Genomic DNA, 23364 nt, shown 5'->3' with positions numbered 1-23364 from the left:
AGGCTCAGCACTGGCACATAGCCACACCTGCTTCCTTCTCTTGGTCAAAAAGGTCACAAGACAAGTTCAGATTTAAGAGGTGGGGAAATAGATTCCATCTCTCGGTGAGAGTGGCTGCAAAGGTACGTAACGAGGCACTTTACTCCGGAGAGGAGTGAGGAACCCACCAAAAAATACCATAGTGCTTGGCCAGCTGAGGGCTTTTGCAGTTATCTTGTCTTCTACTGGACCCTCCTTTTCTGAATTTCTAATGCATTATGGTCTTTGACACCCCGTTTAGTTAACTGCATTGTATGTTATGCAGTAATCAATGAATGAGTTGCTGACCACCATCTCAGCTTTGGACCACACTGGAAAGCCTTTCCCCTTCTTCCTTCTTCTCTAACCCCATCATCTCCCTCCTGGCCACTAGCGTGCGTCTCAGCCTTATATTGTTGTTTCTAAGAATAGTGAAGTTATAGGAAGTAGCTGTGACCACAGAGAGCTAGTGACCTGCTTATACCATTCTCAAGTTTCTAGCTTCTTGGCATGAGTCCCCTATGGCCTTTAGTCAACCCACAGTTTAAGTTGAATACTTCTATAGCCTAGGCAGATTATTTAGAATTGACATGGGCTTAGGATATGCAATGAAAACGGGAAAAAGTAATTTCTGAATTGCTGGTAAGGAGAAATTTGACAACAAGTGAATTAAAAACACTTTTTCTATTACAGAAAGCCTCGGCTATGGAGTCTAAACTGGATTTGAATCTATCATTTACCAGCTATGTATTCTCAGGCAAATAATATATTCAAACTTAGTTTCCCCATCTATAAAAAGAAGAAAATAATATGCACCTGCACAGTTGTCAATAAATGAAATAAATATATGTAACACTCCTAGCACACATGAAGTGTTTAAAACCACTTTGTTTCTTCTCTCTCCAGCTGTTGTGTTTGCCTTAAGAGGAATCCTCAAATTTCTAACTTTCTCATTTTAAATGCTACATTAGTTGTTGCAGAAAAATTTGACTCAAAGAAGGGAAAGTTCCTGCAGGGGGTCTCTGAAAGATAACGATGTTGAGTGTTTAGGATGAGAAGCAAGGCGCCGCTCTGGGAATTCTACGTGAAAATCACAGAGCATCTCAAGGATGGGGGAAGCAGGCCTCTAGTGAATAAATGACAAAGCAACACTCCAGGAGTCAGTGTTAGCTCAGACTCTGTGTCCTGGCTGACCAGTTCTAGACTCTTCTGGGCTCCTCCTCAATGAATGGTAACCCTCTGTCCCTGGGTGCTCTGATAACCATGAGAGAGAGGCCATCAGCCAAGTCTTAGGGGCCCCTGCAGGACAAGAGGAGGGGGAAGAAAAGGAAAGCAAGAGAGAGTCTGAGGCAGAAAAGAGGGCAAACCAAGAACCGAAAAAAGGAAAGAGTTGGAATTGGCACCACGTGGTGATTTGCAGTTTACAAAGCTACATAGACATTATTGGAGCTTATTCTGCATCCCGCTCCCTGTTTTTTTGTTTTTTTTTTTTAAGACAGAGTCTCGCTTTGTCACCCAGGCTGGAGTGCAGTGGCATGATCTCAGCTCACTGCAACCTGTCTCCTGGGTTCAAATGATTCTCCTGCCTTAGCCTCCTGAGTAGCTGGGATTACAGGTGCACACCACCACACCTGATATATATATATATATATTTGTATTTTTAGTAGACACAGGGTTTCACCATGTTGGCCAGGCTGGTCTTGAACTCCTGACCTCAAGTAATCCACCGCCTTGGGCTCCCAAAGTACTGGGATTACAGGCATGAGCCACTGTGCCCGGCCATATTTTCCCCACTTTTTAGATGAGGAAACTGATACTCAAAATGTGTAAGTGGCTTTACCAAGATCACATAGCTAGTAAATGGCAAAGACACAACTTAAACTCAGCTCTCCTGATTTCCTGCCTGTATGCCTGGTGGTGCATTGCACATATGTTGTTAGGGAGAGGTTGGAAAAGGGCCACCCACGTTGTTGCAAGAGTCACTAACAGTGTCACAGGCCACTTAGGATAAAGAGCAGCTGTTTGTTTGTTGCCCATATATGCATTTAACCATTATTTGGTGACTTTTATGGTCTAAAGGTGGAAAACAAACAGGCAATTATAAACAGTGTGATAACTGTCAGCAGAGTCACATGTTTCTAGGAGAGTAAATTGGAGGCAACCACCCTATCTAGTTTGGTGGCATTTCTAGGAGAGTAAATAGGAGGCAACCACCCTATCTAGTTTGGTGGCAATCAGATAAACTTCCTAGTGCCAGTGACATCCAAGCAGTGAGCTGGAGGACCCGGGTGGTGAGGTGAGGAGGTTCTAGAAGAAAACACTGGATACAGAGGCTCCAGAAAGCAGTATCTAGAAACAAAGTGAAATGAGTTTGGGAGTTGACTCTGGAGAGGAAAGCAAAGTTCATACCTTAACAAGCTTTGCAATCCAATTAGATAATTGGACTTCAGCCTGAGGGCAAAGCGAAGCCCTCAGGGAAATCACTGGATTAGATGCGCATTTTGGACAGTCACTCTTGCTGCAGTGTGAAGAATGGATTGGCCAGGGACAAGACTAGAGGCAGAGAGATCAGGAGGAAGCTTTGCCCTAATGCAAGGAAGAGGTGTTGCAATCATCTCCAGCTTCTTGTTTCTCACAGTTTTGGAGGCTGAGAAACCCCAAATCAAGGCTCCAGCAGATTTGGTATCTGGTGAGGGCCCACTTCCTGGTTCAGAGACCGCCGTCTTCTTACTGTGTCCTCAGGTGGCTGAAAGAGCTCCGGAGCTCTCTGGGGTCTCTTTTATAAGGGCACTAATGCCATTATCGAGGGCTCCACTCCTATGACTTAACTACCATCCGAAAGCCCCACCTTCGAATACCATCACATTGTGGGTTAGGATTTCAACATGTGAATTGAGGTGATAACACAAACATTCAGTCCCTAACAAGACACTTACAGGCTGGAACCAGGGATGGAAAGAAGTAGATTGATTGGCAAGGGATTAATATGGCCCAGCAGCTAGAACCTGGTGATTGCTTGGATATCGGGGGGGAGGTGTGTGTGTAGGAAAATGGGAGCATAAAGACCCCATCTGCGGAGCGAGGGAACATTGGAGGGGAGCAGGCTTTTCAGAGTGAGACAAAGAAGTCCAGAGAAATAAGCTCAAGTTGGGATGTAATGATACCAAACAATATTTTCTCCACACTCACTATGGGCCACGTGCTGTTCACTCATTGTCTCCTTTCATTCTGACAATAATAACTCACATTTACTGAGCCCTAGTATCACAGGCCAGTAAGAGGCCATGCCAATAACTTTACATTAATTGACTTATTTACCCAGTTAACTAATGAGTTGGGATCTCTTATTATCCCTCATTTTACAGATAAGGAGGTGGAGGTTCACAGAAATCAAGTAATTTATCTCAGCTCCATCACTAATAATAAGCCAAGAGATGAACCAGGGGCCAGGCATGGTGGCTCACGCCTATAATCCCAGCACTTTGGGAGGCCAAGGCAGGTGAATTACTTGAGGTCAGGAGTTCAAGACTAGCCTGGCCAACATGGAGAAACCCCATCTCTACTAAAAATACAAAAATTAGCTGGGCATGGTAGTGGGCGCCTGCAATCCCAGCTACTCGGGAGGCTGAGGCAGGAGAATTGCTTGAACCCAGAGGGCAGAGGTTGCAGGGAGCCAGAATGGGGCCACTGCAGACCAGCCTGGGCAACAGAGTAAGACTCTGTTTCAAAAAAAAAAAAAAAAAAAAAAAAAGACTTGAACTTGAACCAAACCATTTGGCCTAGAACCCTTACTTTTTTTATTTTTTTATTTTTTATTTTATTTTTGAGACAGAGTCTGGCTCTGTCGCCCAGGCTGGAGTGCAGTGGCGTGATCTTGGCTCACTGCAAGCTCTGCCTCCCGAGAACCCTCACTTTTAATCACTTACTATATTGCCTCTTTATTGAGTATTCAGGGGCTATGGGATCTCCAGGACAACATGTCTAGTGGGTAGTAAGAAAGAAATACAAACTAGGAATATAGACTTGTGATTTATCAATAAGCCATGGGAATGAATGAACTGTGCAAGCTAAGAAGGAAGGGAACTGGGCCGGGCGTGGTGGATAATGCCTGTAATCCCAGCACTTTGGGAGGCCGAGGTAGGCAGATCACCTGAGGTCGGGAGTTCGAGACCAGCCTGACCGACTGTAGGGATGGAGAAACCCCGTCTCTACTAAAAATACAAAATTAGCTGGTGTGGCTGTACATGCCTGTAATCCGAGCTACTCGGGAGGCTGAGACAGGAGAATCGCTTGAACCCGGGAGGCAGAGGTTGCGGTGAGCCGAGATGGCGCCAATTGCACTCCAGCCTGGGCAACAAGAGCGAAACTCCATGTCAAAAAAAAAAAAAAAAAAAAAAAAGAAGGAGGGGAACAGACAAAACCCAGGGAAACCCCAGCATTCACAGGCCGGGGGAAGGAGCCTGCCAGGAGCAGTGGTTGGAAAATGTGAAGACAGGGAAACTGCTGGGGAGGAAACTTTGCAGGTGGTGTGGCCTCCTGTGTCAATGCTGCAAGGACCTTGAAGATGAGGAGGCAAGAAGACGGCTTTGGCACCATGGCAGTGACCTTGGCAAGAGCCATTTTAGTGGAGTGCTGAATGGGTTCCAGAAAGAAAATTAGGTAAGGAACAGAGAGAGTGAATGTAGCCCTCTCTGTCACTCTCTCAAAAATATCATGTATAAAGAGAAACAACAGCATGTGAACCTAAGGAGGATGTGGACCAAAGGAGAAGCTTTTTCTTTAAGGTAGACGAGGCCTGAGCATGTCTAAATGCTGGTGGGAAAGAGCGAGTGTAAGGAGGGAAGATGCAGGGCAGAGAGAGGACCAGAGATGCAATGAGGTCTTTGAGGTGGTGGGCAGGGGGAGTTGGGAAGTGATAGGACCTGGAGTTCAGGTTCATTGCTTTTTCTTTTGTTAACACATCTTCCTCAAGTGTCTGCCACGAGGAGACTTGGGTCTTCATCATGCACTGTTCCCAGACCAAACCGAGGGTCAGGCTGCTTATTCTCACGGCCCAATAATGAGATACAGATGAACTGGGAGAGAAGAGAGTTTATTTCTGTAGCCGGTCACAGGGAGAAGGCCTGGAAATTATCGCCAGACCAACTCAAAATGACAAAGTTTTCCAGAGCTTAGATCCCTTCTAAGCTATATGCCTACGTGTTTAAGTGTGCGTCCATCTAAAGACATAAGTGATTAACTTCTTTTCGTCTATAACTAAGTCCTGAAGACCTTCCTCTGGAGCCTCAGTAAATTTACTTAATCTAAATGGGTCCAGGTGCTGGGGTGATTACCCTTATCTTGTCTCCTGCTAAATTATGGAGGTTAGGGTAGTTCTTTCAGAACCCAAATAAACTTGTTTGTGGAGGCCTGGAGAGTTTCTTCAGACCCCCAATAAAATGTTTTAAATCCTAAACGGGTCCTGTTCGGAGTTCCTTCATTATCTTATCATGCTCCAAGGCCCAGGAAAGGCCTAGGCAAAGCTCTGGGTGGATTTTGTTACATCCCAGCCTTTGGATAAGGGCGCTGGCTCTCTCAGCTTTTAATATTTAACTTAACCACTCAGTCAGTGCTGAAACAGTTGTTACGGAGGCCTGTGTTAGTGACAGCTGGCCTGCCACAGCACCTCTTTGTTGCTTCATCTGTGACCGAAGAGGACGAGTGAGGAGTAGGACCCTTGCGAAGGTTTTAGATGCAAGCTTAGGAGGATGAGGGGCGCTGTCCGAGGTCTGAGAGGTAAGGAACCAAGGGGGAATGTGGTCACAGTGTTGAAGGAGACTGAGGGAAAATGGGCAATGCTCAAAACGACCATAGCGGAGACTGCTGATTTGGAAATAGAAGGAGGCTGTGCTGTGTTGAAGGCCCACTGAACACCGGAAGCTGTGGGCACTGTTCAGCAGACCCTGGGTGTGATCGGCTCCATCAGTGCTCCCTGTCTGGGTGATGGAGGCTGGGTGGACAGTTGGATGGAACCAAAGCCCACCCCCAACAATGGAGGCTATACAAGGATGATAAAAGAGTGAATAAAAGAGTGAGGATAGGCCGGGCGCGGTGGCTCACGCCTGTAATCCCAGCACTTTGGGAGGCTGAGGCAGGCAGATCACGAGGTCAGGAGATCGAGACCACGGTGAAACCCCGTCTCTACTAAAAATATAAAAAATTAGCTGGGCGCGGTGGCAGGCGCCTGTGGTCCCAGCTACTGGAGAGGCTGAAGCAGGAGAATGGCGTGAACCTGGGAGGTGGAGCTTGCAGTGAGCTGAGATCACGCCACTGTACTCCAGCCTGGGTGACAGAGGAAGACTCCGTCTCAAAAAAAAAAAAAAAAAAAAGAGGATATTGGCAAGAGAGTAGTTGAACTGATGGACCAGATGGGGTCTCAACTGTATGCAGAAGGGAAATAAAAATGGAAAAGGCCCATAGAAATTATTATTATTATGTTTGAGATGGAGTTTCACTCTTTTGTCCAGGCTGGAATGAAGTGGCATGATCTTGGCTCACTGCAACCTCTGCCTCCCAGGTTCAAGTGATTCTCCTGCCTTAGCCTCCTGAGTAGCTGGGATTACAGGTGCCCACCACCACACCCGGCTAATATTTGTATTTTTAGTAGAGATGGGGTTTTGCCATGTTGGCCAGGCTGGTCTCGAACTCCTGACCTCAGGTGATCTACCCGCTTTGGCCTCCCAAAGTGCTAGGGTTCCAGATGTGAGCCACTGCATCCAGCTACCCATAGAAATTAGAAATTTTGATAGGGTGCAGTGGCTCATGCCTGTAATCCCAGCACTTTGGGAGGCCGAGACAGGCAAATCACTTGAGGCCAGGAGTTCGAGACCAGCCTGGGCAACATGGTGAAACCCCATCTCTAGTAAAAATACAAAAATTAGCCGGGCATGGTGGCACATTTCTGTAATCCCAGCTACTTGGGAGACTGAGGCACAAAGGTCACTTGAACCCAGGAGGCTGAGGTTGCAGTGAGCTAAGATTGCGCCACTCCAGCTTGGGTGACAGAGAGAGATTCTATCTTAAAAAAAAAAAAAGATAAATAAATAAAAAAGAAATTTTGAGGATCGAAAAATCTCAGTGAATCAGAGAACAGGTGTAGTGGGACTAAGAAAGGAAGAGTAGTTGAACTGATGGACCAGATGGGGTCTAGATTGTGATAGCTTCAATTATGTTCACAAATTCTTTGGTACTCCCTTCAAAAGATGCAGCCTAGTTCACCTCTCCTTGAGCATGGGCTGGACTTGGTGCTTCCATTCTAACATGGAGAAAAAATCAGAAGGAACCAGGTTATAAAGACACTCTGGCTTCATTGTGCTGTCTCTTGGATCACTTGCTCTGGGGGGACTTAGCTGCCATGTCTTGAAGACACTCAAGAATCCCTCTGGAGAGGCCCATGTGGTGAGGAACTGAGGTCTCCTGCCAACAACCAACTCTACCTTGCTAGGGGTGTAAGTGAGCCATGGAGGAAATAGGTAAGCATCTTGGCTGCAACGTCCTGAGAGGCCTTGAAACAGAACCACTCAGCTAAGCTGCTCCTGGATTCCTGACTCTCAGAAACTGTGTGAGCTCATAAATTGTTGTTTTAAGCTGCTAAGGTTTGGGGCAATCAGTATTGCCACCATAGACAAATACAAAGGCACTGAAAATGAGAGAATAAGCATGGATGGTAGAATGTTTGAATCCCAAACATCAGAGGTTGAACAGATGTGGACATACAACAATGAATGTCAGAAGTGGCTTGGAAGAGAGGATGCTGGAGCTGCAAAATTCAGGAAGTTGAGATATTGGGCAGCTTGTCGGAATTAGAGTAAAGTTACCCAAACCAAAGCAGAACTCAGCTCAAAGAGAGACCAGGAGCCATGGATGAGGTCTTCGATGAGGAGGAGTGACAGGCATGCAGGTGGATGGCGTCACTGGGTAGGGTCAGATGGCATGAGTAGGAGCCTTCACATAAAAGTGAAGGAGTAATGATTTTGATGCAGGATTTTTCTCTGCCCCTTTGCCAGACTCCCAGCAGGGACGCCCCATCTACTCAGCCTGCTGTGCTCAGCCCCTTGCAAGTGGGAATACGTGAGTGAGCGAGTGTGGGATCCAGCCCACCACAGGAGCAAGCTCCATGCAGGGCCCATGGCCAGACCAGGAGTGTTACCTCAAGAGGAACGTGGCAGTGCCCAGGCAGGGGTACCCACCACCTGAAAGCCCCAGAGGGGGTGTTAATATGCTAATTAGCTCTCTTAGTTCTGCCATCCATAGCCAGATGGACAGTGGTGTTTTAGCAGCTCGGTCAGTCCCTGGCCCCATTGTGTGAGGGAGCTGCCCTCTGCCAGTGAGGGCAAAGGGCCAGTGTGACAGTCTTTCTGGGTACCCACACTCGGTGGGTCCTGAGCTCTTTTCCAGCACCCAAGAAGAATGAGGTGACGCTTGATGATTAAAGGATGGTGAGGGCGGAGAAATTTATTGAGCAATGGAACAGCTGTCAGTAGAGAGGGGAGCTGGAGAGGGAATGGGAAGGGCAGGTCATCTTCCCCCGAAGTCGGGAGTTCTCTTCCCTGAAGTCAGGCTGTCTCCCTGTCTCCCCTCTACCGACTGAGTCTGAGATCTGTATAGGCACAGGATGGGGGTGGGGTGGGTCATAGGTAGTATTGGAAAAGGCAACATTTGATTGGTTGAAAGGCATTATTCAGAAAGAACCAATCAGGAGAGAGCAGGCAAACAAGAATAGAAGTTCTCACTCTGGTCTGCGGGTTTTAGGCTGTTTTTGGCTTGAAGGTGGGGTTTCACTGGGGACCCACCCCTATCTTCCTAGGATTTCTTTGCCTCCTGCCTCTATTAATTTGCAAGCAACACAAGCTCATGAAGGGGCTCCAGTCCCTCTCCAGATTCCAGGGCTTTGTGGTGTGGCAGGATGAGTGGCCACACTTGAAAGACTCAGGAGACAGCGAGGTTTAACCTAAAGCCATGAGCTGGGAATCCACTCAAGCAGGAGGCTGAAAATGCAAATATAGGAAAGTACAGTGACTGTGGAGTGGGGATGCTGCAAGGTATGGCAAATGTTTTGGAAGAAAGGGAGTGGAGGGGTGTGTGTGTGTGTGTGTGTGAAATTAAACCTGAGGCACACTGAAGAGGATTCAGGCAAGGCTAACTGACTGCTTGTGAGTTTTCTGGGATATCCCTCCAGTCCCTGTCACAAGCACTAATTCAATTTCTCAGCAGTTCATGCCTATAATGCACACATTACTGGAGTCACACAAACACAGCATCCCTGCATGTTAAACATGGGATCTGGGGGGTCACAGGCATTCAAAATATAAGAGATTTTTCTCTTATAAAATATTATTCTTGCAGAAGGCTGATTTATTCCTCATATTGTTTGAAAGGATATAGTTAGATAAAAGGCTTATAAAGGTAACTTTCTAATCCAGTACAGGGAGATAGTAAATATTTGTTGCTACATGATTGATGTCTTTTTTTGTTGTTGTTGGGGAGGTTATTCTTTTTTATTTCTTTTTGTTAAAAATAAAACCTTAGCTGGGTGTGGTGACATGCACCTGTAGTCCCAGCTACTTGGGAGGCTGAGGTGGGAGAATTGCTTGAGTCTGGGAGATTGAGGCTGCCATGAGCCATGATTGTATCACTGCGCTCCAGTCTGGGTGACAGAGCAACACCCTGTCTCAAAACAAAACAAACAAACAAACAAACAAATCACATTCTCTACATCTGAGGGTATCCTATAGAAAATAGTGTTTGGGATTTATTCAGGGTTTGTAGAATAAGTAAACATTTCTGAAGTGTACAGATTAATGCTTACATAGCTGGGCACGGCGGCTCATTCCTGTAATCTCAGCACTTTGGGAGGCTGAGCCAGGTGGATTGCTTGAACTCAGGAGTTTGAGACCAGGCTGGGCAACGTGGTAAAACACCATCTCTACAAAAAATACAAAAATTAGCTGGGCGTGGTGGTGCACACCTGCAGTACCAGGGCTGAGGTGGAAGGATTGCTTGAGCCTGGAAGGCTGAAGCTGCAGTGAGCTGTGATCATGTCATTGCACTCCAGCCTGGGTGACAAAGTGAGACCCTGTCTCAAAAAAAAAAAAAAAAAAAAAAGGCTTACATAACAGGAATATTCTGAATTGGAGTTTACGAAACATGGAAATCTGGGCTGGGCATAGTGGCTCGGACCTAGTAGTTCTAGTGCTTTGGGAGGCTGAGGTAGGAGGATCATTTGACTCCAGAATTTCAAGACCAGCCTGGGCAACATAGGGAGTCTCCATAGCTACAAAAAAATTTAAAAATTAGCCCGGCATGGTGGCACAAGCCTGTAGTTTCAGCTACTTAGGAGGCTGAGGTGGGAGGATTGCTTGAGCTGGGAGGTGAAGGCTGCAGTGAGGCATGATTGGGCATGATCGGGCACCACTGCACTCCAGCCCGGGTGTCAGAGCAAGACCCTGTTTCAAAAACTAAATAAGGAATTTTGAATGTCTTTAAAGAATGAAAACGATGGTTATATGTGTGTGCACTATATAAAAACATATATTATTTATGAAAAATATAAACAAGTTTCCTGAGGAGTCAAATAACAGTTCTGAAAATGAGTAGAAGGGACGAGATGTGTGTGTGGGGTGGGGGGGTTACTCAGCATTCACTTAACCTCCAGCAAGGGCAACAACTAAGGAATCCATTGAGTCTTTTCTGAACTCAGAACAATGTAGCATTCTAGGCTCTATGACATCATTTTTTAAAAATAGCTGCTTTCATCAACAGATATCAGTTTATAATGAAAACGTTTTTTCATTTCTTTTGGGAAGAGGGAGGGGAAAGTAGGGGGCAGGAGTGACCAGTGACTAAGTGAGATAAACGTTCTAATTGTCCCCAGTCTCTATGTAAATAGAAATGTAACTGGCACCAAGCTGCAAGGTCACGTGCACATTCTCTCATAAAAATATTAAGCAAATAGTTTGTTCCATTGTTTGGGTTTATGACTAGTAAGTCATTAACATCATGAGTTTTATTATTAGTTGACTTTTAATAGATTAGAAACAATCGGCAATCACAAGATAAACATCTCCATGGATGCTTCCGTGATGACTTCGATGAGGATGATAAAGGTGCGGCCCAAGAGACGTGACCAGGGCCAGGATGTCGCATATGCACAGAGGCCTGGCGCCCACCCAGACTGGCCTCTGCCGCGGGCAGATGGGGCCTCTGCTTTCAGATCCCCTCTGTGCCCCACAGTTTTCTACCACTCAGTATGCAAAATTTCACTGCTTTCGGAGTCACAGAGAAGCCTTGTTGCCCGTGGTGTGCTGGGAAGTGCTGAACAGCTGGCTCTGGGAAATGTTTCCGTGGTGTAAATGTCTCCTAACCACTGGTCAATTTCAGACTTCCCAACCCTGGCTCTGAATGTGGGCTTGGGAAGAGTCGTGCATAATCAGCTCCTGGGAGCCAGTGGGAGCAGACTCTAGCAGGCGGATACTGTTCCTACCTTCACCCCAAATGGTCCCTTCGTGATAGAGGAAGCCTGCTAGTCTGCAAGCTTGATTTATAAGGTTCAGATTCCCTTGAAATATAAATCTCCTGGGAAAGGCTGGAGGACGCTCTAGTCCTTCCTTCCTTCCCTCCCTCCTTCCCTCCCTCCCTCCTTCCCTCCTTCCTTCCTTCCTTCCTTCCTTCCTTCCTTCCTTCCTTCCTTCCTTCCTTCCTTCCTCTTTTCTTCCCTCTCTCTCTCTTCTGTCAGAATTTACTGATGACAGCTAATGTGCTAGACATTGTTCCAGGAACTGGGATACAAAGACTGGTCAGAATTCATCTCTGGCAGTGGGAACCTGTGGTCCAGGTGGTGGAGACGAAACTACAAATGTCATTGATGTTTATAGGCTGGGTACAGTGGCTTATACCTATAATCCCAGCACTTTGGGAGCCCAAGGTGGGTGGATTGCTTGAGCTCAGTAGTTCAAGACCAGCCTGGGCAACATGGTGAAACCTTGTTTCTACAACAACATATGAAAAATTAGCCGGGCGTGGTCGTGGGTGCCTCTAGTCCCAGCTACTAGGGAGGCAAAGGTGGCAGGATCACTTGAGCCCGGAAGGCAGAGGTTGCAGCGATCTGAGATCATGCCACTGCACTCCAGCGTGGGTGGCAGAGGGAGACCCTATCTCAAAAAAAAAAAAAAAAAAAAGAATGTTTACAGTTTACATATTCTGTGATAGAAGACTGTACAGGGCACAACTGGACTCAGAGGAGAGCGATGACTTCCAACCGTCCAGGAACAAATATGTAAGGAAAAGCTTCCGGAAGGTGCTGGTGCTTGAGCTGCAATATCAGAAGTGTCTGTGTCTGAATTCATACCAAGTAATGGACAAACAATAGCAGCAGCTGTGGCAGCAGCAGGCTTGTACTGAGCGTGTTCTGTGTGCCAGGCACCCTTCTAAATTCCTCTATTATGTTGTGCAATCCTGACAGTGACTCTCGAAGATTATACTCTTTTTACTCCTATTTCAGATGAGAAAATTGAGGCACAGGGAGGGTAAGTAACTTGCCAAAGACCACAGAGCTAGTAAAATGTGGAGCCAAGATTTGAACTCAGGCACTGTGATACTAGGGCCACAATTTCAACCATCCACAACATAGTGCCTCAAATAATGTCACAGCTACAAATGAGAGTTTTCTAGTTGTTCAAATAGGGAAAGTGGGATGGGGCTGTGGCGGACATGGCTTAAATCAGGGGTGTCCAATCTTTTGGTTTCCGTGGGCCACATTCAAAGAAGAAATGTCTTGGGCCACACATAAAATACACGAACACTAATGATGGCTGATGAGCTAAAAAAAAAAATTGCAAAAAAACTCATAAAGTTTTAAGAAAGTTTACAAGTTTGTGTTGGGCTGCATTCAAAGCTGTCCTAGGCTGCAAGAGGCCCGTGGGCTGCAGGTTGGACGAGCTTGGCTGAAACCATTACTTATCCTAAAATAGAACGGGCATGTGCCCTCAAAAAGCCCTGGGTCAGGGCATCTGTCTTGTCTTTGCAGAACAATCAGATGTTCTACGTGGAATCCATCGCTGAGCACACCAGCTTGGCAGCAGTTCATTACCTACGGTGTAGTAGTAATTGCACCATGAAGAAATTTTCTGTAACCAATTCCAGCAATAATTAGATTAGATACTTATTTAGTGCAGATTTCAATAAAGCTGCAATGTTAACTTCATGTTCAAATGAACAAGACTGTTTTGCAGAGATCAAATGACACCACATTAAACTGACACTGAAGAGTGCCTGTTGGCAGAGTTTTGGCTAAGCAATGGGGTTGGGTTATCTTGAACTAGCAAACAAAGTCTTGAAATCATTAATGCCATTGTGTTTACTAAACTGTGTAAACAGAGGTTCTCTGCCCAACGGAAGTCAAAATATAGGCCAGTTAAAGAGCTGGACTTCAGGCTACAGGCTATTTTTATATGTGTTAGTTTAGCAAAACAGGATCTATTGTGTTAGTTTAAAATATTATTGGGTTTATATCTTGGTTAGGACTTAACATGTATGTTGCCTTGGTTTTACAGTTGTATAAGAGGCATAAGGAATTTATTTTCTTTAAATTAATACTGCAAATTCCAAGGTTCTTTTTTCTTTTTGTCTTTTTTTTTGGTTACAGATGGGGTCTCACTATGTTGCACAGGTTGTGCTCTGACTCCTGGGCTCAAGGGATCCTTCTGCCTCAACCTCTCATGTAGCTGGGATTACAGGCACATGCCACTAGGCCTGACTGCAAATTCCAGCTTCTACCTCATCATTCATTTGAAAGTTTATGATTTTCCATTTTTTCAGTCCTGGAGAACTGGGACTTGGACACTTGGCTAAGACAATTTGTGGACACCTAGAGAGCATTGCTTACTTGTTCTTTTTGAATGCTTTCTGTCCTTAGTGCTTACATATTACCTACTGTCAGAGACAGTGGTTTTCAGTTTCATATTTCATTTAGTGTGTAGATAAAGCACTCAGAAATACACTTAGGCTGCAAGCAACAGAGAACTCAATACCCAGCTCCCAGGGAGTTTGGGAAGGCAAGTGTTTTTAGTTGACAGCAGTACTATCCTAAACAAAGTCTGGGTGTTGCTGGTCAGCAGGAAGGGGAGATGGATACAGGGTAGGAAACTAGCAGAGTCAGCTAAAGTGAATGGGTGAAAGAAAAGTCAAACCTTTTCTTACATTTCTCCCTGATCAGTCCCTCCTTCCCACTCTTCTCTCCTTGGCTCTTTCGAGGTAGTGTTTTGCTGATATATGTTGCGCGTTGGGTTCTCTGAGAGAAAAAGCTCTGGTTTACGGTGTTTGTCAATTTCCACGGTGTAAATGTGTCTACCACGGTGAGTTTCAAGCTACCTGTACTGAGCACAGCCTTGGGAAGAGATGCCCAGCAGCTCACCATCACACAGTTTTTCCACCTGATACATCCAGTAGGACTCACAACCTCAAGCGTATAGGTAATAGTAAAATGTTTTATTACTCTGCCAGGGCTGCCATAATAAAGGACCACAGACTGGGTTGCTTAAACCAGCAGTCCCCAACCTGTTGGCATCAGGGACTGGTTTAATGGAAGACAATTTTTCCACAAACCAAAGGTGGGGAGAATGGTTTCGGGATGATTCAATCACATTACATTTATCGTGCACTTTATTTCTATTCTTATTACATTGTAATATATAATGAAATAATTATACAACTCACCATAATGTAGAATCAGTGGGAGCCCTGAGCTTTCTTTCCTGCAACTAGATGGTCCCATCTGGGGGTGATGGGAGACAGTGACAGATCATCAGGCATTAGTTAGATTCTCATAAGGAGCATGCAGCCTAGATCCCTCGCATGCACAGTTCACAACAGAGTTGGCACTCCTATGAGAATCTAATGCCACCGCTGATCTGACAGTAGGCAGAGGAGGGAGCTCAGGCAGTCACGCTCACCCACCCTCCGCTCACCTCCTGCTGTGCAGCCTGGTTCCTAACAGGCCATGAACTGGTACCGGTGTGTGGCTGGGGGCTTAAACAACAGAAACTTATTTTCTTACAGCTCTAGAGGCTGGAAGTTGACAGTCAAGACATCAGCAGGGTTGGTTTCTCCTGAGGCCTCTTTCCGTGGCTTGCGGATGGCCACTGTCTTCTTGTCTCTTCACATGCTTGTCCCTCTGTGCACGTGGACCTCTGGGGGTCTCTCTGTGTGACCAAATTCCCTCTGCTTATGAAGATACTATCCTGTTGGATTAGGGCCCACCCTAATAACCTCACTTTACCTTCATCAACTCTTTACAGACCCCTCTGCAAATACAGTCACATTCTGAGGTACTGGGCGTCAGGGCTTCAGCACAGGAATTTAGGGGAGGGGGACACGACTCAGCCCATAACAAACGTGGTAAAATAATTAAGAAGCAATCAACTTTAAGTATTTCCTTTGTTTCTTAATATGTATTTAATTATACATTTATAGTGTTTAAGTTTGAGTAATGTCTATGTTTAACAGCTGACTTAAAAAAATAACTGAAGATTTAAAAATAGGCTCTCATGAGCTGGTATGAGCTGATTCTGGCACTGCTTTAAAAGAAAATAAAAGCTTATACTTTTATCTGGTTACTACCCAACCTGAAAAACAAAGTGCTGTGTGGCAGAGTGTCAATTTTCTTAAGGTTTCTTTGCTGGCAACAATCTCCTCATTATTGTGAGAAAATGAAATAATCCCTAGGATGACTCCAGTGGTAATATTCTTTCATTTTAAAAAAGACCCTGGCCAGACATGGTGGCTCACACCTGTAATCTCAATATTTTGGGAGGCCAAGGCAGGCGGATCACCTGAGGTCAGGAGTTTGAGACCAGCCTGGCCAACATGGTGAAACTCCATCTCTACTAAAATTAGCTGGGTACAAAAATTAGCCAGGTGTGGTGGTGCGCGCCTGTAGTCCCAGCTGCTCAGGAGGCTGAGGCAGGAGAATTGCTTGAATTGGGAGGTGGAGGTTGCAGTGAGCCAAGATGGTGCCACTGCACTCCAGCCCGGGTGACAGAGCAAGCCTTGGTCTCAAAAAAAGAAAGAAAGAAAGAAAAAGAAAAAAAATCCTAATAATAACTAGTGGTTCCGTGATGCTTTGCAACTGAAAAAAATTTTTTTACCTTATTCCACACTCTATTTAAAAATTGCATAACTGGTCTAGGCTGACAGTGCCCCTCCCAAATTCCTATGTTGAATCCTCCATGTGATGGTATTAGAAGGGGGGACTTTGGGGTGATTATGTCATCAGGGTGGAGCCCTCATGATATTAGCACCCATAGAGGAAGAGACACTTGGAGCTAAACGATGAGAACTTATGAACACAAAGAAAGAAACAACAGACACTGAGGTCTACTCGAGGGTGGAGGGAGGAGGGAGAAGAACAGAAAAGATAACTACAGGATACTAGGCTTAATAACTGGGTGGCGAAATAATCTGTACAACAAACCCCATGACATGAGTTAACCTATGTAACAAACCTTCACATGAACCCCCAAACCTAAACATTAATAAAAAAGGAGAGTCACAAGGCTGGGTGCAGTGGCTTGCGCCTATAATCCCAGCACTTTCGGGGACTGAGGCAAGAGGATTGATTAAACCCAGAAGTTCATGACCAGCCTGGGAAACATAGTGAGGTTTCTGTCTCTATAAGAAATTAAAAAAATTAGCCCAGAGTGGTGGTGCATGACTATAGTCCCTGCAACTTGAGAGGCTGAGTTGGGAGGATCTCTGGAGCCCAGGAGTTTGAGGCTGTAGTCAGCTATGATCATTGCACTGCACTCCAGTCTGGGTGACAGGGTGAGACCCTGTCTCTAAAAAGAAGAAGAAGAAGAAGAGTAAGAGGAAAAGGAGGAGGAGGAGGAAGAGGAGGAAGAAGAAGAAGAAGGGAAGAAGAAGAAAAAGAAGGAGGAGGAGGAGGGGGAGGAGGAGGGGGAGGAGGAGGAAGAGGAGGAGGAGGAGGACGAGGGACATATGAGAGGAGGAGGAGGAAGAAGAAGGAGGAGGAGGGGGAGGAGGGGGAGGAGGGGGAGGAGGAGGAAGAGGAGGAGGACAAGGGACATATGAGAGGAGGAGAAGGAGGAAGAGAGACATATGAGAGCTTGCTTTCTTTCTCTCTGCTCTCTACCACGAGCACACCAGCAAGAAACCAGCATTCTGAAAACCAAGAAGCAGGCCCTCAGTAGATGCTGAATCTGCCTGCATCTAGATTTTGGACTTCCCAGCCTCCAGAACCGTGAGAGATAAACGTTTTTTGTTAAAACCACCCCGTCTATGGCATTTTTGCTATAGCAGTCTGAGCTAAGACAGTGCCCATCAGATGTCAAGCACTGTGCTGGGAAACAGGGGACATTAAGAGGACAAGACAGCCATGATCACTCCCCTCATGGCAGTTACGTCTTTCAGGTGAGATGATATCAAACAAATAGTCATTTAAATACTAATTATAGTAGTTCTAAATGCTAGAGGAACATGTATGGGGCACTATGGAAGCATTTAATAGGAGGAACCAGCTGGGTGTGATGGCTCGTGCCAGTAATCCCAGCACTTTGGGATGCCAGGGCAGGAGGATCATTTGAGCTCAGGACTTTGCAGCCAGCCTGGGCAACATAGTGAGACCCCACCTGTAAAAAAAATTTAAAAATTAGCTGGGTGTGGTGGTGCACACCGGTAATGTCGGCTACTTGGGAGGCTGAGGTAGGAGAATAGTTTGAGCCCAGGAGTTCGAGGCTGCAGTGAGCTATGATCTCATCACTGTACTCAAGCCTGGGCAACAGAGAGAGACATTGACTCTAAGAAAAAAAAAAACAAACCTAACCTCATCCAGGAGATCATGTTTATCTTGAGAAATGAGATTTAACCTGTGTTTTGGGCAGAATTATGTCCTCCCTCCCAAAATATGTGTTGAAATCCTAATCCCCAGTATCTCGGAATGTGACTGTACTTGAAGATGAGGCTTTACAAAGGTGACAAAGGTAAAAGGAGGCCATTAGGTGGGCCCTAATGGAATCTGACTGCTGTCCTTAGAAGAACAAGAAATTTGGCCACACAAGAGAGCCACCAGGAAGGCACACGCACAGAAGGATGACCATGTGAGGACACAGGGGAAAACAGCTGTCAACAAGCCAAGGAGAGAGGCTCAGGAGAAACCAACTCTGCTGACACCTGGATCTTGGACTTCCAGACTCCAGAATTATGAGAAAATACATTTCTGGTGTTTAAGGCCTGTAGTCTGTGGCATTTTGCATTGGCAGCCCCAGCAGACTAATACAAGTGAAAACCCAGGAGTCAGTAGGAGCTGCTTAGACTAAGGGGCATTGTAAGCCAAGGAAAGAACATCTGGTGTGATCCTCAAAGCCAGGAATAAAAGGCTCAGAGAAGAGTGTTTAGAAGTGTGGGCCCTGGAGGCCAATGGGCTGGATTCAAATCAACTGAACCTAGGGAAAGTCACATCACTCTCCGTATCTATTTTTTTCATCTGTAAAATGCAGTGGATTCTAGATTCTATTGTGGCATTGTCTGAGGGGGATTAACGAGCTGAGCTGTAAAGCGTTTAGTGCAGTGCCTGCCTGGCACGTAGTGCTGGAAATGCTCAAAATATCAATTATTGTCTGAGGATAGCTCGTCATCCTCAGAGTTTAGCTGGAATGTTACCTACCGTGGCGCGTCTTGACTGGTACTGTGCCAATCCAAGTAAAATCATTTTCTTTCCCTTGTTGGGAAGGAAGACCATCTGTCTTTAAAATCTGGATTCTCCATTTTGTATTACTGAAGTCTTGGATTTTGTCCTAATGTCTGTTGCTGTAGGCCTTGGAAACCTATCATTTGAAAAAAGAAGTAAAATTAGGCCTCTGGGGAGGGAGGACTGACTATGCTTTGGGAGGACTCATGAGGGTTTACAGGAATGGGAGCAGGGGAGGGGACACTGGCTCTGACAGGGATCTGGCCTCCGTTCCTGAGCACTCACCGCCTAGGAAGTGCTGGAGATGGGGCGGGAGGAGGGTGGGCAGGAAGCGGGATCATGCTGGGGCCACCACTAAGAGCCAACAACAGCCTTAGGGCCTCTGGAGGGGACACTGCCTTGCAATGCCAGGAGAGTCAGAAGTTCCTGGCCGGGTGCGGTGGTTCATGCCCGTCACCCCAGCACTCTGGGAGGCTGAGGTGGGTGGATCACTTGAGGCTAGGCGTTTGAGACCAGCCTGGTCAACATGGTCAAACCCTGTCTCTACAAAGAGTACAAAAATTAGCCAGGCATGGTGGTGGACGCCTGTAATCCCAGCTACTTGGGAGGCTGAGGCACGAGAATCGCTTGAACCTGGGAGGCAAAGGTTGCAGTGAGCCGAGATTGCACCACTGCACTCCAGCCTGGGTGACAGAATGAGACTCTGTCTGAAAAAAAAAAAAAAAAAAAAAAAAGAGGACTGGAAATCCAGCAGAATGGCAGTGCTAGGGGTACAGGTAGGATGGAGAGAAGCTCTTGCACTTCTTCCTCTGAGCCAGGTTGGGGTACTTTTTATGCATCCCAAATTAGAGACTTCAGGGGCAGAACAGCATGTTACCAGATAACCACATCATTATATCTTGTTCATCTGTAGATTACCTCACTGGACTCAGATCCTTAAGGACAAGTATTATGTCTTTTCTCTCTGCATCCTCCATGGCTAGCATAATGCGTAGTCTCTATTTATTTATTCTTATTTATTGTTATTTTTAAGAGACAAGGTTGCACTCTGTTGCAGAGGCTGGAGTGCAGCAGCACAATCATAGCTCACTGCAGCCTCAAGCTCTTGGGCTCAAGCGATCCTCCTGCCTTGGCCTCCTGAATAGCTGGGGCTATAGGCACTTGCCACTGTGCTGGCTTCTATTTGTTGCATAAAACCCTAACTTACAGATAAAGCATTTGAGGCTGAGTGATTGAGTGACTTACTTAAGGTCACATACCTGGTAGTGGAGTCATATCTAAAACCCAGAGTATCCACAGTGGAGCCTCTGTTCTTGCTGGCAAACACTTGAGGGCAGGAGTGTGTCTTATTCTTTCTCCCTGGTACCATGGCTAGGCTGCAGTTCATGGATCACAGGAAGAACCTGAGCAGTGTGGTAGGATCTAGAAGATTGGTTAGTGGGTTGATTGATAAAGCTGTTTGCATGAAGTCCAGAGCAGATAAACCATCCTCATCCTTCCAGGGCAACACCTACAGCCATTCTCATTCATTCATTCCAAAGATATTTGGGAAGAGGAATGTTCCATGTGTCAGCTTTTTTTTTTTTTTTTTTTTTTAACATATGTTTTAGTCTTTTACATTTATGCTCTGCAAGGCAGTGGAAACACCGCAGTTTTTTATTCATTTATTCAACATATATTTAGCAAATATCTACTGTATCCTAGAGATTCACTGGCTGGCTTTCTAAGTGCAAGTGGGTCAATCTCTCTGTGTTCCAGTTCATACATGCATAAATTGAGGACAATGATATCGATTGCCAGGTTAGCATTAAGTTTAAAAGAGGAAAGTACATGACATCTTGGGGTGTATTAATATCACTTAATCCTCTCACCAGGGTCAGTGACAACTATGATCAGTTGTCTCTTGAATTAATAATCGGTTGTCTCTAGAATTCAGTTCTCTCTTGCAGTGCCAGGGAGGCACTGGGTGCCTTCTGAAAAGCTGTTGATGCCTTGACTTAGTTTATTAAGTTATTGTGAAACAAGAGGGGAGGGACTTCTCTGGGCAGAGTCCTTCCTGTGCCTGGCACATGAATAATGCATAGGAAATATTTAGTCAGTCAATACAGTTACTCTGGCATCAATGCAGTTATTCTGGCCTCTGAAATGGATGGGACATTTTAATAATGCGAGAAAGGTGAGACTCATTACACACCTTTTCTTCTTCTGCCCATGATATCTTTCTATGCATTGGGAAAAGAAAGTTTCCTAGCCAAATGGGATTGTGTTGTTTCAGCATAAATTCTCTATCGGTTAGCAGCTGGGCATGGTGGCTCACACCTGTAATCCCAGCGCTTTGGGAGGCCAAGGCGGGTGGATCACTTGAGGCTAGGAGTTTGAGACCAGCCTGGCCAACATGGGTGAAACCCTGTCTCTACTAAAAATACAAAAATTAGCTGGGCATGGTGGCACACACCTGTAGTCCCAGCTACTTGGAAGGCTGAGGCAGGAGAATGCTTGAACCTGGGAGGTGGAGGTTGCAGTGAGCTGAGATTGCACCACTGCATTCCAGCCTGGGCAACGAGCGACACTGTCTCTAAAGAAAGAAAGAAAGAAATTCCCTATCATTTAGCATTACATTCATCTGCATGTAGTGGAAACATTTCTCCCCTCAACCCCCTATGTTTCCTAGGTAAGAGAAAATTCTATTTGTCATGTAAAAGATTAAAGTTAGGCATTCTAGGGTTGGTGTGACAGTTTCACAAAGCCATTAGAGAGTCCTCCCAACTTTACCTCTAGGATGGCCTCATGGCCCATGGTGACTGCTAGTGCTCCAGCCATCACATCTGTGTTCAAGACAGCAAATAGAGGAATGGGGAGATGAGATGAGCTTCCCTTCCCTTTTAAATAGACTTTTCTAAGTCCCATATCTTCCTGCTGACATCTCTTTGGTGAGAAATTGAACATATGTCCACACCTTATACAAGGAAGGCTGGGAAAGGAAGTGTTTCAGCTAGGCAGGAACTTGCTCAGCTAAAAATTGGGGTTCTGATACAAAGAAGGAAGGGACAGATGGATGTTTAAGGCAGGCAAATTGCAGGGTCTCTCACATCTTCCATTCTGGAGAAGGCGCATAGCTGTTTTTCCCTTCTGTGTTTCTCCCACCCTACGCAGGAACTGTCATTAATGTCTTCACATCTTACACTGAGGGAAACAGAAGTGATGACGCTGTGTTTTTCATCCCAGGCCAAAACGAAAGAAGAAATGGTGTCATTCTTCCACCTACATGCTCATGCTCTTTTTCTCAAATGTTCTGTTCCCTTCTCACACCTCTCCCTCCCTCTCTCTGTGCCTTTCCCAACACGTGCACAGAGCTCCTGTTAAATCTGCCCTCTGAACTGCAAAGAGATGGTTGCTGTCCCTGAAATTGATCACCGAATATTGTGTACTTGGTCCTTTGATATTCTCTGCTTGCCATGGACGCAGAGCATTTCATTTTGTTCAGGAGAAGCAGCCCCAAAGAAAGGGGGAGCCCTCTGTGCAGCGGGGTCTGCTGGATGAGGAACAGGGTTCTTGTCAGGATTGGGACCTGTGTTCATCCAGTTAATGATTACAGACAGTGCTCATCTCAAGACACTTCTGTTCTCTCATTTGGAGCACAGGGAATTAATGTTACCTTTCATACAAAATATGAAACCTCTTACCTTTCAAACAAAATGGATGGAGATTAATAACATAAGAAGTATTTGGGTGTCACAACATTTTGTAGGATGCCTATTATCTACTAATCTAATTATTGACTATGGCAGAATTGAAGCCAGCATTTGAAATGGTGGTTGGGGTGAGGGGCTGGGCTGGAGAAAGACCAGAAGGCCTGGCTAAGCCCGGTGCAGCCATTAGATTCTGGGTGAAGTGGGCTGTGCCTTCATCCTTCAAATGACCATGAGATTGTCTACTTCACAGCACCCTTTGAGCACAGAATTAGGTAACACATGGGAAACCCTAACAGAGGACTTGGCACATAGCAAGGACTCAGTGATTGATTTGTTCCTTTTTCCTAGAGGGGAAGAGTAGAGAATAAAGGGACAAGAATAGAAGGAAGAGATGAGTTGAGGAGTTGAAGTGGGAGCTGTTTTAAGTAGGTCCTTACCAACTCAGTAGTCGAATTCAATTAAGCTCTCAGAAACAAGCAAACACGCCATCCATTCTACTTTATGTCATCGTACTCCAAGACCAATTCTGTTCAACAGACAGCTCATTTATAAAACGTTACATATCAAGGAGTTATTTTTTTAAACTGCTAAGCTCTAAATACTTTTTTCTAGGTTAAACATAAGATTAGAGTCATTTTTTTTAAAAATGAAACCTTCCGAACAGCATTTCATTTTCCAAAAAGGAAACCAACAGTAAAGAATTTCAGTGTCTATTTTACACTGCTAATCAGTTTTTCCTCTCCTCTGTCATTCCACTTTCTCTCCCTACCCTGAAAGATGGTGACCAAGCTTCAAAAGTATCTAAATCACAGGGCTGGGCGTGGTGGCTCATGCCTGTAATCTCAGCAGTTTGAGAGGCCAAGGCGGGCAGATCACTTGAGGTCAGGAGTTCAAGACCAGCCTGACCAACGTGGA

The 23364-nt window shown here is 45.6% G+C and overlaps 1 long non-coding RNA gene across 3 annotated transcripts in view, besides 1 other annotated feature; it reads left to right on the top strand.

Moving 5' to 3' along the window:
* Window positions 523-582: a silencer, noted in NCBI's record as "silent region_19037". NCBI's record gives its function as "represses an Ori minimal core promoter by ATAC-STARR-seq in GM12878 lymphoblastoid cells {active_cell/tissue: GM12878}" and the evidence as "EXISTENCE:reporter gene assay evidence [ECO:0000049][PMID:35858748]".
* Window positions 5656-23364, top strand: part of LOC105379336 (uncharacterized) — a 73813-nt gene continuing 56104 nt past the window's right edge. For 2 of the 3 annotated variants that reach the window (XR_001745851.1, XR_001745850.1), the window contains exon 1: window positions 5656-5793. This is a non-coding gene — a long non-coding RNA (uncharacterized LOC105379336). Of the gene's footprint in view, window positions 5794-8727; window positions 9099-23364 lie in introns of those variants that run through there. The other variant, XR_001745853.1, reaches the window with a different exon arrangement.

Source organism: Homo sapiens, chromosome 8 (assembly GCF_000001405.40).
Source record: "Homo sapiens chromosome 8, GRCh38.p14 Primary Assembly".
In the NCBI taxonomy this organism is placed as follows: Eukaryota; Metazoa; Chordata; class Mammalia; order Primates; family Hominidae; genus Homo; species Homo sapiens.
The sequence above is the reverse complement of the archived record's forward strand: the minus strand, read 5'-3'. Positions and strand labels throughout refer to the sequence as shown.